This window comes from Homo sapiens, chromosome 3 (genome assembly GCF_000001405.40).
Source record: "Homo sapiens chromosome 3, GRCh38.p14 Primary Assembly".
Classification (NCBI taxonomy): domain Eukaryota; kingdom Metazoa; phylum Chordata; class Mammalia; order Primates; family Hominidae; genus Homo; species Homo sapiens.
Genome location: NC_000003.12, coordinates 111,632,914 through 111,649,208, shown reverse-complemented (window position 1 = coordinate 111,649,208; position 16,295 = coordinate 111,632,914). Strand labels below are relative to the sequence as shown.

General features: G+C 37.2%; 1 protein-coding gene and 1 pseudogene across 15 annotated transcripts in view; both read right to left on the bottom strand.

Moving 5' to 3' along the window:
- Positions 1–16,295, bottom strand: part of CD96 (CD96 molecule) — a 123,800-nt gene that overhangs the window by 16,788 nt on the left and 90,717 nt on the right. For 10 of the 15 annotated variants that reach the window (XR_007093273.1, XR_924090.2, XR_241462.2 and 7 more), the window contains 3 exons: positions 11,948–12,013; positions 11,041–11,130; positions 1,543–1,666 (listed from right to left, as the gene is read on the bottom strand). Coding sequence is in view for 5 of the 15 variants with exons in the window: in NM_198196.3 (NP_937839.1) it covers positions 1,543–1,666; positions 11,041–11,130; positions 11,948–12,013 (280 nt within the window). In the remaining 10 variants the exon portion in view is untranslated. The remainder of the gene's footprint in view (positions 1–1,542; positions 1,667–11,040; positions 11,131–11,947; positions 12,014–16,295) is intronic. The other 5 variants (XR_007093307.1, XR_007093366.1, NR_134917.2 and 2 more) reach the window with 1 other exon arrangement.
- On the bottom strand, positions 14,719–15,266 carry NT5C3AP2 (NT5C3A pseudogene 2; annotated as a pseudogene).

Here is a 16,295-nt window from a genome sequence, read left to right as displayed (position 1 = left end):
GTTTCTTTTATGTGGATTAAAATATTCCTCCAGAGACTAAATCTTAAAATCCTAGGATTTAAGACTGAAGCTTTTCATACAGCCTCTTTGCTAACCCTAGCCCCAGCCTTTGCCCAAACACTCACTATGTACTGCGGGGATAGGGTAGAGATGGGAAGTAAAGCTCTTCTCAATCCCCGAGTACTGGCTAGATAATGCCTAAATCCCTTTTGTTTGAATCAGTGAACATTCTTAAAGTCATCTTTGTACAAAGAACTATTTTATGTTAGTACAAGTAATCTCTTTTTCCGAAATGCATTAAAGAGCCAAGTTAGTATGGAATTTAGCTATACAAATGCTCTAGCTATCTTGATATCAGGCAACAGAAATATATCTGTGAACATCTTTATGTTCATCACTCAAACACCTCTATGCCCTGGCAATCCATAGCATCTTAGGAGAGATAAAGAGTGGGTAGTGGGGGAAGGAGGATAGAGAGATTGATTCTCATCTCCATATAAAACAAACATTTGAATACAGAACAATTTAAAAAATCAGTTCAGATTTTCAGATTTCATTTGTTCATTTAATATAAAGCTCTCTAATCCCTATTACCCAATTTTTAGATGCTTTAATGGAGACTTCATATGTATTAATAGGTAATTCTACGAAACATGCACTTTTGTTTTACTTTTGTTTTTTGGGGAATTATGAGTTTCTCAAGGTCATGTGGTGGCCAAATTGTAGTCCTTGGAAAATAATCCAGAATTTCTAACTACTGGTTTAGTGTTTTGTTCACCACTCCCTGTATGTGGTTACAGAGTCTTCAAGGATACTCTGCAAAAGGTAGGAAAGTATATGGCACAATGGTTAATGTTATCTTAGAGTAGTAGTAAGACAAGTGGAAGATCAGTTCTGGGTACTGGGGTCCCTTCCAGTTATGGCCCAACCCAGACTGACTCAAAATAGCAAGTCAGAAAAATGAGGCTTAACCTTATGTACCATTTCAGACTGCCGATTGGAGAAGGCTTTTGGAAAATATTTCAATAAGACAAAAATGGGGTAACCCAATGCTTACTTTCTTTTCTGCTTGGGAAAAAAAGAAAAGGGCAGTAAAAGCCCACTCTGGTAAAAAAAGCAGCTGGAAATCTCTTAAAATTACCTTTCTCACTCAATTTCACACTTGAGCATCTATGACCAGTGGAGCCTAGGCAGTTCAAAGATGCATGAAAATGAAAAAATAATGAAGATTAAAAGAAAAATCAGTTTTAGTTTTGAGGAGAGGTGAGGCTCAGTTCTCATTTCATGTCCACGGACTTGCTCTATCTGACGAATGTTACAGCCTGACTAGGCCAATGCAGAGAGGGATACTGAGTCAGGAGTTGTGTATTTAATCCCAACTATGTAATGCTGGGAAAGCTATATAATCTCTCTGAGCTTCTGTGAGCATTATTTCCCCATTAAAATATGGGAGGAACTTCATAGAGTAATAATATATTGTACTGATGAATATTTTATAATGAAAAATTAATCTGTTCCTACATATGTTAGTATTATACTCACATTTCTTTTTGGTACTGACACCATTTTCTCACTCCAAGACCAAACAATATCATGCAGCAAAAGAGTAAAGCTGCTACAATCACTGGCCAGGACATTCCATCTTTGGGCTTATTGACCACAATACCTGAAAAGGGCATAAAGAAAGATGAACTTTAATCCCAAACTTTGGCATTTGGAAAACAGGATTAAACCATTTTTCCTACGTGAAACATATTTTCTTCAACATTGGCTGTGATCATACTCTGGAGGTGGGCATGTCTAAGCCTTGTTACCTACATGAGGTGATAACTTTTAAGAGTTAATTACGTACCCTACCAGAAATTTTCTGTGGATATATATAAGCATACATATGTACCATGAATATATACCCTTTTTATTACAGTTGGGGGCATATTATACACACTATTCTGTCCATGATTTCTTTTTCTTTTTTTTCACTATTTTAGGTTCAGGGGTACATGTGCAAATTTGTTATATAGGTAAATTATGTGCTGTGGGGATTTTGGTGTACAGATTATTTTGTCACCCAGGTAATCAACAGTGCCTGACAGGTAGGGTTTTTTTTTTTTTTTTTTTTTAATCTTTACCCTCCTCTCAACCTTCAGTAGGCCTCAGTGTTTGTTGTTCTTGTCTTTGTGTCCATATGTACTCGATGTTTAGTTCCCACTTAATAGTGAGAACATGCTGTAGATGGTTTTCTATTCCTGTGTGAGTTTGCTTAGGATAATGGTCTCCAGTTCCATCCATGCTGCTGCAAAGAATATTATCTCATTCCTTTTTATGGTTTCATAGTATTCCATGGTGTATATGTACCACGTTTTCTTTATCCAGTCACTGTGGATGGGTGTTTAGGTTAGTTCCATGTCTTTGCTTTTGTGAATAGTGCTGTGATAAACATACGTGTCCATGTGTCTTTATGGTAGAACAATTTATATTCCTTTGGGTATATATCCAATATAATGAGATTGCTGGATCAAATAGTAATTTTTTTTTTAAGTTCTTTGAGCAATAGCCAAACTGCTTTCCACAATGGCTGAACTAATTTACATTCCCACCGGCAGTGTATAAGCATTCCCTTTTCTCCACATCCTCACCTGCATCAGTTTCTTCTTCTTTTTTTTTTTTTACTTTTCAGTAATAGCCATTCTAACTTATGTGAGATGGTATCTTATCGTGGTTTTAATTTGCATTTCTCTAGTGATTAGTGATTTTGAGCTTTTAAAGTATCCTAAGAAGGTAAAAATCATTTTACATTTTTAACATTTTACATTTTACATGTTTTTTTAAGAATAAGAGGCCAAAAGACATACACCTGGCCTCTTTTTCTTAAAAAACATTCTTGGAATACTTTCCATATCACCACACAGAGATTTACCTCATTCTATTAGATGACTGGATAGTTCAATGGATATACCAGTTTATTTAATTTATCTCACGATGTTAGATGGTTAAATTGTTTCCAGACTTTGTTATTGCTAATGATACTCCAGTGAAATTTCTTATACATGATAGATAGGTCTTTAGGTATTTCGATTACATGGATCATTTGGGCAAAAAGCTATCTGGATTGGTTTTCTTTCCTTGTCTCGGCTAGGTAGTAACTGCTTGTGAGTGAAGACAAGGATTTAAATTTATTTCATTGCCCCGTTTTTATTACACTGCTTTTCATATAGCAAAATCTCAAAAAATACAGGTCAAAGAACTAGATGTAATATTAGTTATCACATCTTTTCTGTGTTTTTACATAGCCTGGACTGAAACCATGTGATGTTATCATGTTAGCATTGGTTAGAAGTGTTGAAGACAGTTCCCTTTCATACAACATACATCCAGGGATTCGAGGTCTTCCTGATTCTCACCCCTGTCAAAGTAGAAACTGAGGGTTCCCTGGAGACCCATGTAGTCCAATAATACATAATTATGTGACACATTGTATATACAGATGACTAGAAAGTTTACATAGTTCAAACCACTAGAGTAGCATGATCATGAAAGAGACAATTGGTCAACTCAGGACTAGACAAAGTTCTGTTTCACACAAGTCAAAATTTACTAAGCTCTACCATGGTAATATGGTGGGATATAATATTTTACGTCCAAAGTTTTAGATAAAGGAAAGAACAAAAGGTTTTATTTTATTTTTTTTTTCCATAAGTTATTGGGGTACAGGTAGTGTTTGATTATATGAGTAAGTTCTTTAGTGGTGATTTGTGAGATTATGGTGCAGCCAACACCCAAGCAGTATACAGTGCATCATATTTGTAGTCTTTTACCCCTCGCCCCCTCTCATTCTTCCCTCCAAGTCCCCAAAGTCCATTGTGTCATTCTTATGTCTTTGCGTCCTCATAGCTTAGCTTCCCACATATCAGTGAGAACATATGATGTTTGGTTTTTCATTCCTGAGTTACGTCACTTAGAATAATAGTCTCCAATCTCATCCAGGTCACTGCAAATGTGTTAATTCATTCCTTTTTATGGCTATGTAGTATTCCATAGTGCATATATATATATATACACCACGGTTTCTTTATCCACTCATTGATTGATGGGCATTTGGGTTGGTTCCACGATTTTGTAATTGTGAATTGTGCTGCTATAAACATACATGTGCAAGTATCTTTTTCGAATAATGACTTCTTTTCCTCTGGGCAGATATCCAGTAGTGGGATTGCTGGATCAAATGATGGCTCTACTTTTAGTTCTTTAAGGAATCTTCACACTGTTTTCTATAGTGGCTGTACTAGTTTACATTCCCACTAGCAGGGTAGAAGCGTTCTCTGTTCACCACATCCATGCCAACATCTACCATTTTTTTTGATTATGGCCATTCTTACAGGACTAAGGTGGTATCGCATTGTCATTTTGATTTGCATTTCCCTGATTATTAGTGATGTTGAGCATTTTTTCATATGTTTGTTAGCCATTTGTATATCTTCTTTTGAGAATTGTCTATTCATGTCCTTAGCCCACTTTTTGATAGGGTTGTTTGTTTTTTTCTTACTAATTTGTTTGAGTTAGTTGTAGATTCTGGATAGTAGTTCTTTGTCAGAAGTATAGATTGTGAAGGTTTTCTCTCACTCTCTGGGTCATCTGTTTACTCTGCTGACTGTTCCTTTTGCTGTGGAAAAGCTCTTTAGTTTAATTATCTTTGTTTTTATTGCATTTGCTTTTTATCTTTGTTTTTATTGCATTTGCTTTTGGGTGCTTGCTATTTATCTTTGTTTTTATTGCATTTCTTTTTGGGTTCTTGGTCATGAAATCCTTGCCTGAGCTCATGTCTAGAAGAATTTTTCCAATGTTATCTTTTAGAATTTTTAGTTTCAGGTCTTAGGTTTAAATCCTTAATCCATCTTGAGTTGATTTTTGTATAAGATGAGGATCCAGTTTAATTCTCCTACATGTGGCTAGACAATTATCCCAGCACCATTTATTGAAAAGGGTGTCCTTTCCCCACTTTATGTTTTTGTTTGCTTTGTTGAAGATCAGTTGGCTGTAAGTATTTGGGCTTATTCTGTTCCATTGGTCTATGTGCGTATTTTATACCAGTAGCATGCTGTTTTGATGACTATGGCTTTATAGTATAGTTGGAAATCAGGTATGTGATGCCTCCAGATTTGTTCTTTTTGCTTAGTCTTGCTTTGGTTATGTGGGCTCTTTTTTGGTTCCATATGAATTTTAGGATTGTTTTTTCTAATTCTGCAAAGAATGATGGTGGTATTCTGATGGGTATTGCATTGAATTTCTAAATTGCTTTTGGCAGTATGGTAATTTTCACAATATTGATTATACCCATCCATGAGCATGGGATGTGTTTCCATTTGTTTGTGTCATCTATGATTTATCTCAGCAGTGTTTTGTAGTTTTTCTTTTAGAGGAATTTAGACTCCTTTGTTAGGATATTCCTAAGTATTTCATTTTTTTTTTTTTTTTTGCAGCTATTGTAAAAGGGGTTGAGTTCTTGATTTGATTCTCTGCTTGGTTGCTGTTGGTGTATAGATGAGCTACTGATTTGTGTACATTAATCTTGTATTCGGAAACTTTGCTGAATTCTTTTATCAGTTCTAGGAGCTTTCTAGAGGAGTCCTTAGGGTTTTCAAGGTAAACAGTCATCATCAGCAAACAGTGACAGTTTGACTTCCTCTTTACTGATTTAGATGCCCTTTATTTCTTTCTCTTGTCTGATTGCTTTGGCTAGGACTTCCAGTACTACATTGAAGAGGAGTGGTGAGAGTGGGCATTCTTGTTTTGCCCTAGTTCTAAGAGGGAATGCTTTCATCTTTTCCCCATTCAGTATTGTGTTGGCTGTGGGTTTGTCATAGATGGTTTTTATTACATTAAGGTATGTCCCTTGTGTGCCAATTTTGCTGAGTTTTAATCATAAAGGGATGTTGGATTTTGTTGAATTTTTTTTTGTATCAATTGAGATGATCATGTGATTTTTGTTTTTAATTCTGTTTATGTGGTGTATCACATTTATCGGCTTGTGTATGTTAAACCATCCCTGCATCCCTGGTATGAAACTCACTTGATCAAGGTGGATTATCCTTTTGATATGTTGTTGAATTTGGTTAGCTAGTTTTTTTTTTTTTTTTTTTTAAGGATTTTGGCATCTATGTTCAGCAAGGATATAGGTCTGTAGTTTTCTTTTTTGGTTATGTCCTTTCCTGGTTTTGGTGTTAGGGTGATGCTGGCTTCACAGAATGAATTAGGGAGGATTCCTTCTTTCTCTATCTTGTGGATAGTGTCAATAGGATTGGTACCAATTCTTTTTTGAATGTCTGGTAGAATTCTGCTGTTAATCCATCTGGGCCTGGACTTTGTTTTGTCGGTAATTTTTCTTTTATTTATTTATTTTTTTTTTAGGCGGAGTCTCAGTTTGTCACCCAGGCTGGAGTGCAATGGCACAATCTCTGCTCACTGCAACCTCTGCCACCCAGACTCAAGCAAATCTCCCACCTCAGCCTCCCAAGTAGCTGGGATTATAGGCGCCTGCCACCATACCTGGCTGATTTTTGTATTTTTAGTAGAGACGGGTTTTCACTGTCTTGGCCAGGCGGGTCGTGAACTCTTGACCTCATGATCCACTGGCTTCAGCCTCCCAAAGTGCTGGGATTACAGGCATGAGCCACTGAGCCACTGCGCTCAGCCCTTGTTGGTAATTTTTAAATTGCCATTTCAATCTCGCTGCTTCTTATTGGTCTGTTTAGGGTATCTAATTTTTCCTGATTTAAGCTGGGTGGGTTGTATTTTTCCAGAAATTTATCCATCTCTTCTAGGTTTTCTAGTTTATGTGCATAAAGGGGTTCACAATAGCCTTGAATGATCTTCTGTATTTCTGTGGTGTCAGTTGTAATATCTCCCATTTCATTTCTTAATTAGGTTATTTGGATTTTCTCTCTTCTTTTCTTGGTTAATCTCACTAATGGTCTTTCAATTTTATTTACCTTTTCAAAGAACTAGTTTTTGTTTCATTTATCTTTTGCATTTTTGTTGTTGTTGTTTCAATTGTATTGTGCTCTGATCTTGGCTATTTCCTTTCTACTGATGGATTTCGGTTCAGTTTGTTCTTGTTTCTCTAGTTCCTTGAGGTGTGACCTTAGATTGTCTGTTTGCACTCTTTCAGATTTTTGTTGTAGGTGTTTAGGGCTGTGAACTTTCCTCTTAGCACCACCTTTGCTGTATCCCAGAGGTTCGATAGGTTGTGTCATTACTGTCATTCAGTTCGAAGAATTTTTAAATTTCCATCTTGATTTCATTTTTGACCCAATGCTCATTCAGGAGCAGGTTATTTAATTTTCGTGTATTTGCGTGGTTTTGAAGGTTCCTTCTGGAGTTGATTTCCAGTTTTATTTCACTGTGGTCTGAGAGAGTGCTTGATATAATTTCAGTTTTCTTAAATTTATTGAAGCTCATTTTATGGCCTATCATATGGTCTATCTTGGAGAAAGTTCCATGCACTGTTGAATAGAGTGTGTATTCGGCAGTTGTTGGATGAAATGTTCTGTATATATCTGTTAAGTCCATTTGTTTCAAGGTATAGTTTAAATCCATTGTTTCTTTGTTGATTTTTGGTTTTGATGACCTGTCTAGTGTTGTCAGTGGAGTATTGAAGTCCCCCACTATTATTTTGTTGCTGTCTATCTCATTTCTTAGGTCTATTAGTAATTGTTTTATAAATTTGGGAGCTCCAATATTAGGTGGATGTATGTTTAGAATTGTGATATTTTCCTGTTAGACAAGGCCTTTTACCATTATATACTGTCCTCTTTGTCTTTTTTAACCACTGTTGCTTTAAAGTTTGTTTTGTCTGATATGAGAATAGCTACCCCTGCTCGCTTTTGGTGTCCATTGGCATGAAATGCCTTTTTCCACCCCTTTACTTTAAGTTTATATGAGTCCTTATGTGTTAGGTGAGTCTCCCGAAGGCAGCAAATAGTTGATGGGTAAGTTCTTATCCATTCTGCTGTTCTGTATCTATTAAGTGGAACATTTAGGCCATTTACATTCAGTATTAGTATTGAAATATGAGGTACCATTGCTTTCATCTTGCTCTTTGTTATCTGTGTACTTTGGATTTTTGTTTTTGCTTTTTAACTTGTATTTTTGTTTCATAGGTCCTGTGTGATTTATGCATAAACAGGTTCATTTTGATGTGTTTCCAGGATTTGTTTCAAGATTTAGAGCTCCTTTTAGCAGTTCCTGTAGTGGTGGTTTGGTAAAATTCTCCCAGGATTTGTTTGTGTGAAAACAACTGTATCTTTCCTTCATATATGATGCTTAGCTTCATTGGACACAAAATTCTTGGCTAAAAATTCTTTTGTTTGAGGAGGTTCAAGATAGGTCCCCAGTCTCTTCTAGCTTGTAGGATTTCTGCTGAGAAATCTGTTGTTAATCTGATAGATTTTCCTCTATAGGTTACCTGGTGCTTCTGTCTCACAGCTCTTAAGATTCTGTCCTTTGTCTTAACTTTGGATAACCTAATGACAATGTGCCTCGGCAAAGATCTTTTTGCAATGAATTTCCCAGGTGTTCTTTGTGCTTCTTGTATTTGCACATCTAGGGCTGTCACGAGGCTGGGGAAGTTTTCCTTGATTATCCCCCAAATATGTTTTCCAGGCTTTTAGAATTCTTTTCTTCCTCTGGTACACCAATTATTCATAAGTTTGGTTGTTTAACATAATCCCAGACTTTTGGGTGCTTTGTTCATATTTTCTTATTCTTTTTTCTTTGTCTTTGTTGGACAGAGTTAATTTGAAGATCTTGCTTTTGAGCTCTGAATTTCTTTCTTCTATTTGTTCAATTCTATCACTGAGACTTTTGAGAGCATTTCACATTTCTAAAAGTGTGTCTAAAGTTTCCTGAACTTTTGATTGTTTTTTTTCTTTAAGCTATCTATTTCCATGAATATTTCTCCCTTCACTTCTTGTGTCATTTTTTTTGGATTTCTTTGGATTGGGCTTCGCCTTTCTCTGGTCCCTCTCTGATTAGCTTAAATAACTAATCTCCTGAATTCTTTCTCAGGTAAATCAGGGATTTCTTCTTGGTTTGGATCCATTGCTGGTGAACTAGGATGATTGTTTTGGGGGGTGTTGAAGAGCCTTGTTTTGTCATATTACCAGGGTTGGTTTTCTGGTTCCTTCTCATTTGGGCAGCCTCTGTCAGAGGGAAGGTCTAGGGCTGAAGGCTGTTGTTGAGATTATTTTGTCCCACTGGGTGTTCCCTTGATGTAGACGCTCCCCCTTTTCCTATGGATGTGGCTTCCTGTGAGCCGAACGGCAGTGATTGTTGTCTCTCCTCTGGGTCTAGCCACCCAGTGAGTCTGCCTGGCTGGAGGCTGGTACTGGAGGTTGTCTGCATAGAGTCCTGTGATATGAACCATCTATGGGTCTCTCAGCCATGGATACCAGTGCCTGTTTTGGTGGAGGTGGCAGAGGGTGCAATGGACTCTGTGAGGGTCCTTACCTTTGGTGGTTTAATGCTTTGTTTTTGTGCTGGTTGGCCTCCTGCCAGGAGGTAGAGCTCTCCAGAAAGCATCAGCTATAGTAGTCTGGAGAGGGACTGGTGGTGGGCGGGGCCTTAGAACTCCCAAGATTATATGCCCTTTGTCTTTCACTACCAGGTTGGATAGGGAAGGACCATCAGGTCGGGGCAGGGCTAGGCATGTCTGAGCTCAGATTCTTCTTGGGCAGGTCTTGCTGCCACTGCTGTTGGGGATGGGGGTGAGATTCCCAGGTCACTGGAGTTGTGCACCTAGGAGAATTATGACTGCCTTTGCTGAATCATGCAGGTTGTCAGGAAAGAGGGGGGAAAGCCGGCAGTCACAGGCCTCACCGAACTCCTACACAAACTGACAGGCCATTCTCACTCCCACCATGCCCCCCACCCCGCCAACAGCCCCGAGTCTGTCTCCAGGTGGAGGGCGAGATGGGCTTGAAAATTTGTGAGGCTATCCACCTCCCAGAGTATTTGGGGTGTCTCCTGGGTGCTACAGAGGCTGTCTGCTTCCTTCAGAGGGTCTGTGGGTTTTCTCAGGATTGCTGGTTTGTTCTTGCAGTTGATCTGGAGCTAAAATTCACAATGAAGACTCTGCATGCTGCAGAGTTGCAATCTAGTCCTGCTTCCTGTCTGCCATGATCCCTCATTCTTGCCAAACAAAATATTTTAAAGAGGTCTTACATCAATGCCTATATTTTTTTTTCCAACCAAGTGTAGAAAATGAGACCACTGCCTTCACAATGGAAGTGGAAAAACAGAACTCCATTTTTGACCCATCTCTAAACTAGACAGCTCTTTAAGGCACCAATATATTAAAATCTTTGTAGTGCCTCAGTTTGCAGCTTTATTGCCACGACGTGTGCAAGATGATGCTCCAATGATCAGAAGACTGTATGACCTTTGACACAAAATGAGCTGAGTACCTAGGTGTGGCATTCACTAGTCAAGTGAACACCCCTGAAGTTGATTATGCCTGTGAACTTACAATCATGACCTTCATTAGGAGGGTCCTAACTTTATTGAATCTTTTGCTCTCTTATGATATAAAAGAGGGATTACATTTTGCATGACAATATTATATTAGTTGAATTATAGGAGTACTCTTTGTTCCAATGATTTCTTTCTCAGACTATGTTTTCATAGGCTTGAAATGCTTTTTGCTACTTTTCAATTTATTCAACAAGAATAAATTCTTATTTATTTTTCTCAGATATTAATTTAAGTATATCCTCACAGAGTCCTCTCCTATCCTCCAATTAAAATCAGAACTTCCTGTTTGACCCTGACAACACCTTATCATAGTACTTGTCAAAATAAATTTAGTTGTGATTATTTATTTACTATACACATGATCGATCACTAATAGATTATAATCTTCAAAAAGCCAGTGTGTTCACTGTATATCCAACAACTGGCATAATGCCTGGCAAATGGCAGGTACTTGATAAATATTTATTGAGTGAATAAAGCATAAAATCCCCCAAAATAGGATAAATGACTTACCAGTGATATGGACGTGATTAGTTTTCGTAGATCCATTGGCAGTTGTGGGGACTTCTGAAAATGCTCTGGCTGTGCTGGTAAAGACATTGTCTAGGGATATAAAGGGGATATCTGGACAAGACATCTCAACTTGATCAAGTGGTATAAAACCATGATTGGGTTTCATATGTTATTTGAAAGAACTCAATTTAAATTGTCTAAGTATCCCTTAAATATTATGTGTAAAGTTTATTAAGAACCAATTTATAGCAAGGCTGGGATCCTGAGATTTGTCTAACAATTGCCAAAGGAATAAAATTTCCTAGTGGTTGAAAAAAAAATTCCTGTTGGTTGAAAATAGGAAAATTTCCTATTGGTTGAAAAAAAAAAAAAAGAAGCTCCATACTTCCAAACAACAAAATGATGTCTGCTAAAGAATCTCCATGAGAAATGTAAGTGGTACAGAAAAAGGCCAGAGTTGGGGGTCGTGGATAAGTGAGGCTCTGTTCCTGTTCTCTTGGTATGAGAGGTTCAGCTGATCAAAATACTAATTTCTCTCCACACCGATGTGTTTGATAAGGTTAATAAAAATTCATTTGCAACATTAGACTAAACAAATCCATGTTGACTAATTATTCTATTTTCCAATAAAAAAATTGAAATTTATTTTTCATAGATATAACTAGTAAAAAATGCTATTGTGTAGATTTTTTTGGAAATAAAATGTATAAAAATCTAAGGCTTGGTCTCTATCTTCTTTGAATGGCTGAGAAGAATTTTGTTTCCATTCATTGTAATTTTCATCATCAAGATGTACTTTTATATATCTATCTGAGGCTGGCTTCTTATCAGTTCTTGTTTTTACACCTGTGTCCAAATAAAGCTGACCACTAGCTTCAGTGTCCCTAAATCTTCCCCAAGTACTCACCATGAAGTGTTGAGCCTGCACCTGACGGGGATGAACTGTATGTTTCACTAGGTATCCGTGAAACTGCTAAAGGAAGAAGATATCAGAAGAGTTAACCTATATGAGACTATATTACCACTTCTTGACTGCTAATTTAATCTAATAATTATAAAAAAGGATATTAATGAGTACATAAAGCAAAATCATTAAACTGTTCCATAGCATACACAAGAATGTCCTCAAACAAAGTGGGAGTTGAAGGGATTCTTGTGGTTCAGATGTCTATAATGGGGAAGGTTTTAATTATGGCCACTTAGAAGCAGGAAAAGATATGGAAAGAAAACACTAGAAGGGGTTCCTCTAGCCAGAGTGTGTCATGCTCATTCCATAGATGAGCCAAAAAAAAAATGGAAGAGAATGAAGGTCCAGGTGTGTTATGGCGGCGTTTAGTCAAGAAAAGCTGCCAATAGGACTTTGAAGACCTTGCTAGAACATGCATAGGGGACGAAAACACTTTGTACTTGTGGGTCAGCTGACAGTCTTGCTGAACTGTGAAAACAAAACATGTCAGCAGTGAATTATCAGACCCCTGGGGTCACAGGCCTTGTCAGCTGCTGAGTGAGTCCTTTTGAAGCATTTAGAGACAAACCTTCCCCTTGAGTGGATGGCAGCAAACTCAGACAGCACATATGGCTTTTGAAATAGATCTAACAACTCATTTTGTTTATTGCCCCATCTCTGGCAAGAAAGAGTCACTCCTTGGCAGACACCACATATCTGTATTTGATAAAAGGCCTGCAGTGCAATGTAAAGTAAAATAACTATAGTAATACACGGTTGTAATCAGTACAAATATATTACATCCATTCATTTAAAATATTAGCATAAATGATGTTCATAGTTAAAAGCTTTCTTGTGTGCCAAGACCAAATCAAGTGAGCAAAATCAAAATAAAACAAACAATACCCTCAGCCCTCCGCTTTCCTTGTTTCTTCTTAGATGTCAACAGCAGCTGCAGTTGCTGACAAAGGTGTGTGATCAGGCCCTCCAGAAGAGGTAAGAGTCCATTCTTTAGGGCTTGATTACAGGACAATTTGTCATAGCTATTTCCATTTGGGGTCACCTGAGAAGTAAGAGTGGTTTCATACACAGCTTTTTTTCAGTCTGAGTTCAGGGAGCTGTTCTTATTTTCAATATAACTCTCTGATACTGCATATTAATTTTTGTTCTAGACAGAATATCAAGGTCTATTGATGATGATGGACTAAGAATTTTTTAATGATTATGCCATTCGCCGGAATTTGATTTCCAAAGAGCAATAACTAACTGAAAAACAATTGGGACTAGGCCTAGATTTAGGTAAAATTATGAAGAAGGAAGTTTGTTCTGAATAACCTTGTAGTTTTTTGCTCAATATGGTATGGTGACTCCTTTCTTACTTTCTGACCTTGATGTCTTTATTTTGTATCTCATCAAAGTATGTTTGCAAGAAAGAATGGGATAAATTAATTTACGCTAAAGTCTAAATGGCTGAATAAGCACAATCCATTTAAGGAAAATGGGTATTTAAAAATATTTTCCATTTCATGTTTATTATCAGTGAGTCAATATAGAACATTTTGTAATGGTTAATGATGTGTGGACACTAATAGTTTTCAGCAAGTATACAGTGCCAGGCTTTTCTGGTCAATATTGATTTTCCCCAAGCAAAATAGCCTAACATAACACGATTTCAGGAGATGGTGATACCATCAGCACAATTACAAATTACAAACATTACAACACTTAAAATTATGCCATTTTCTTTTTGTAATTTCATGAAACTTCTTTTTGGACTTCTACTAACTTTCCCAATTTTAAAAGACCCCTCAAAATAATTAAAAAATTAAAAAACATAAGCCACTTTGGAAAAGTAGGGAGTTATTTTTCTAATTTTGACTTTGAGGTTTTTTGTTTTGTTTTTAATCTGTTAATAACATGTAGTGGGAAGTATGGTGAGAGAGGTGAAGAAAATGGAGTTTCCCGTTGATGGATTCCACATGTCTGAAAACACTTAAATACATAAAGGTAAACTTTCAAGACCAGAAAGATATTATAAAAAATAGCCTTTCAGCAAGATGAAGAGATGAACAATTCTGGTATCTCTTGCTCCTGCAGGAGAGAACATCCTGAAGAATGCTTGTTTATAGAATCGTCTGTAAGATGGAGTTGGCTACTTCTAGTGATTCATCTTTTGATGAAACAATACTTTCCTGAATGCTTATCCACTCTATCATTTAGGGATCTAATTTTCAGAATGTGAAAATTTGGCTAATTTGTATGCCCTTTTAAAGTCTTCTTGGGAGTCTCAGCAGAATTATGTTACTATTGTCTATTTTTTTTTTTTTGAGACAGAGTTTTTCTCTTGTTACCCAGGTTGGAGTGCAATGGCGCAATCGCACTCACTGCAACCTCTGCCTCCCGGGTTCAAGTGATTCTCCCATCTCAGCCTCTCAAGAAGCTGGGATTACAGGTATGTGCCACCATGCCTGGCTAATTTTGTATTTTTAGTAGAGACGGGGTTTCTCCACTCTGGTCAGGCTGGTCTCAAACTTCTGACCTCAGGTGATCCACCTGACTCAGCCTCCCAAAGTGCTGGAATTACAGGCGTGAGCCACCGTGCCCTGTCGCTATTGTCTTTTAATTGACTGAAATGTTCTGTGTACTTCAAGGCAACATTATGTTCGTTAACTGCATGAGGTAATTCTCCTTTAAATCCTTTGAGTACACATTTTCACAAATCTACAAACAAACACTACTTTGACATTTGGATGATAAACACCAGCTTGACTGATAAACTTCTCTACAGCACCAGTATCTGCTGAAAATATGAACATGAATACTGTGTTATTGGAGCTTCTCAAGTAAATTATTATATCCTTCCTTGAGCATAACATCAGATTCTTCCACGATTTCTTTAAATTTCATTTTTTGGTAAAGTTTGTTCAACAAAGACACTATTGATGGGCAGCATACTATTCTACCATAAATGGGTACTTCTCTTGAAGTTAACAGGTTCAACTTCAATAATAAAATATTTTTCCTTTAGTTGCAATAACCTCTTTGACATTCACCTGTGACAAGTTTATAGTTGTCAATCATATTATGACACATTAGGCATCTTTTCCCTTGGTAGGAAAATCTACTTAGTGTCATATCAAAGTCCATTATTACTAAAGTTTGGCATCTTCCTTTAATAAAACCACAGATAATTTGTTATTTTTGCAGGGTTCTTGATGCAAACTGAACTTTTCTGGAATTCTTGCATCATTTTTACATGCACAGCAGACTTTTGATGAGCAACTTCTTAGCTATTCAATACTCCTTAAGGCATTCTGAGTTCTTCTGTTTTCGATTTTGTCCTTGAACAACAGTATAGGTGGCAAACAATATCCGGAGATACAAGGCCTGGACACAGGAATTTTGATGATCTTGATTTTTCATCTCATCTTCCTTTTCAAGGTGAATATGTACTGGGCCAGCACCACCTCTGCCGCCAGGATGCACACACTGATGCTAGCTTCTGTGCCCAGTTTTGCCATGTCCACCTGGTCCACAAATGTGGCCCTCATACTCTTGCTGACAAAGATGACATTCACAAGCTTTGGAAGTATGGGGCTTATGCCTTAACCATGGGGAAACCCATGAAGCCCCCAGAAATTGGTGCAGGCGTGCCTGACCATGTATCTGTATCACAGACACAGATACTGCATTTGTTTTTTTTATTTTTATTTTTTTACAAATTGTAGCTTTGTGGCAACCCTGTGTCAAGCAAGTCTATAGGTGCCATTTTTTTTCCAACAGCATGTGCTCAATTCATGTCTTTGTGCCACATTTTGGTAATTCTTGCAATATTCCAAACTTTCATATTATTGTTATATCTACTATGGTAATCTGTGATCAGGGATCTTAAATGTTACCATTGAAATTATTTTGAGGCATCACAAACTGCACCCGTAGAAGATGGAGAACTTAATTGATAAATGTTGTGTGTGTTCTAACTGCTTCACTTGCTGGTGGTTCCCCCATCCCTCTTCCTCTCCTTGGGCCTTTTTTTTTTAATCTGAGACAAAACAATATTGAAATTAGGCCAATTAATAATCCTAAAACAGCCTCTAAGTATTCAAAGGAAAGGAAGAGAAGCACTTTTCTCACTTTAAATCAAATGCTAGAAATAATTAAGCTTAGTGAGGAAGGTACGTCAAAAGCTGAGATGGGCTCAAAGCTAGGCCTTTTGGGCCAAATTGTTAGCCAAGTTGTGAATGCAAAGAAAAAGTTATTGAAGGCAACTAAAAGTGCCACCTCAGTGAACACATAAATGATAACACTG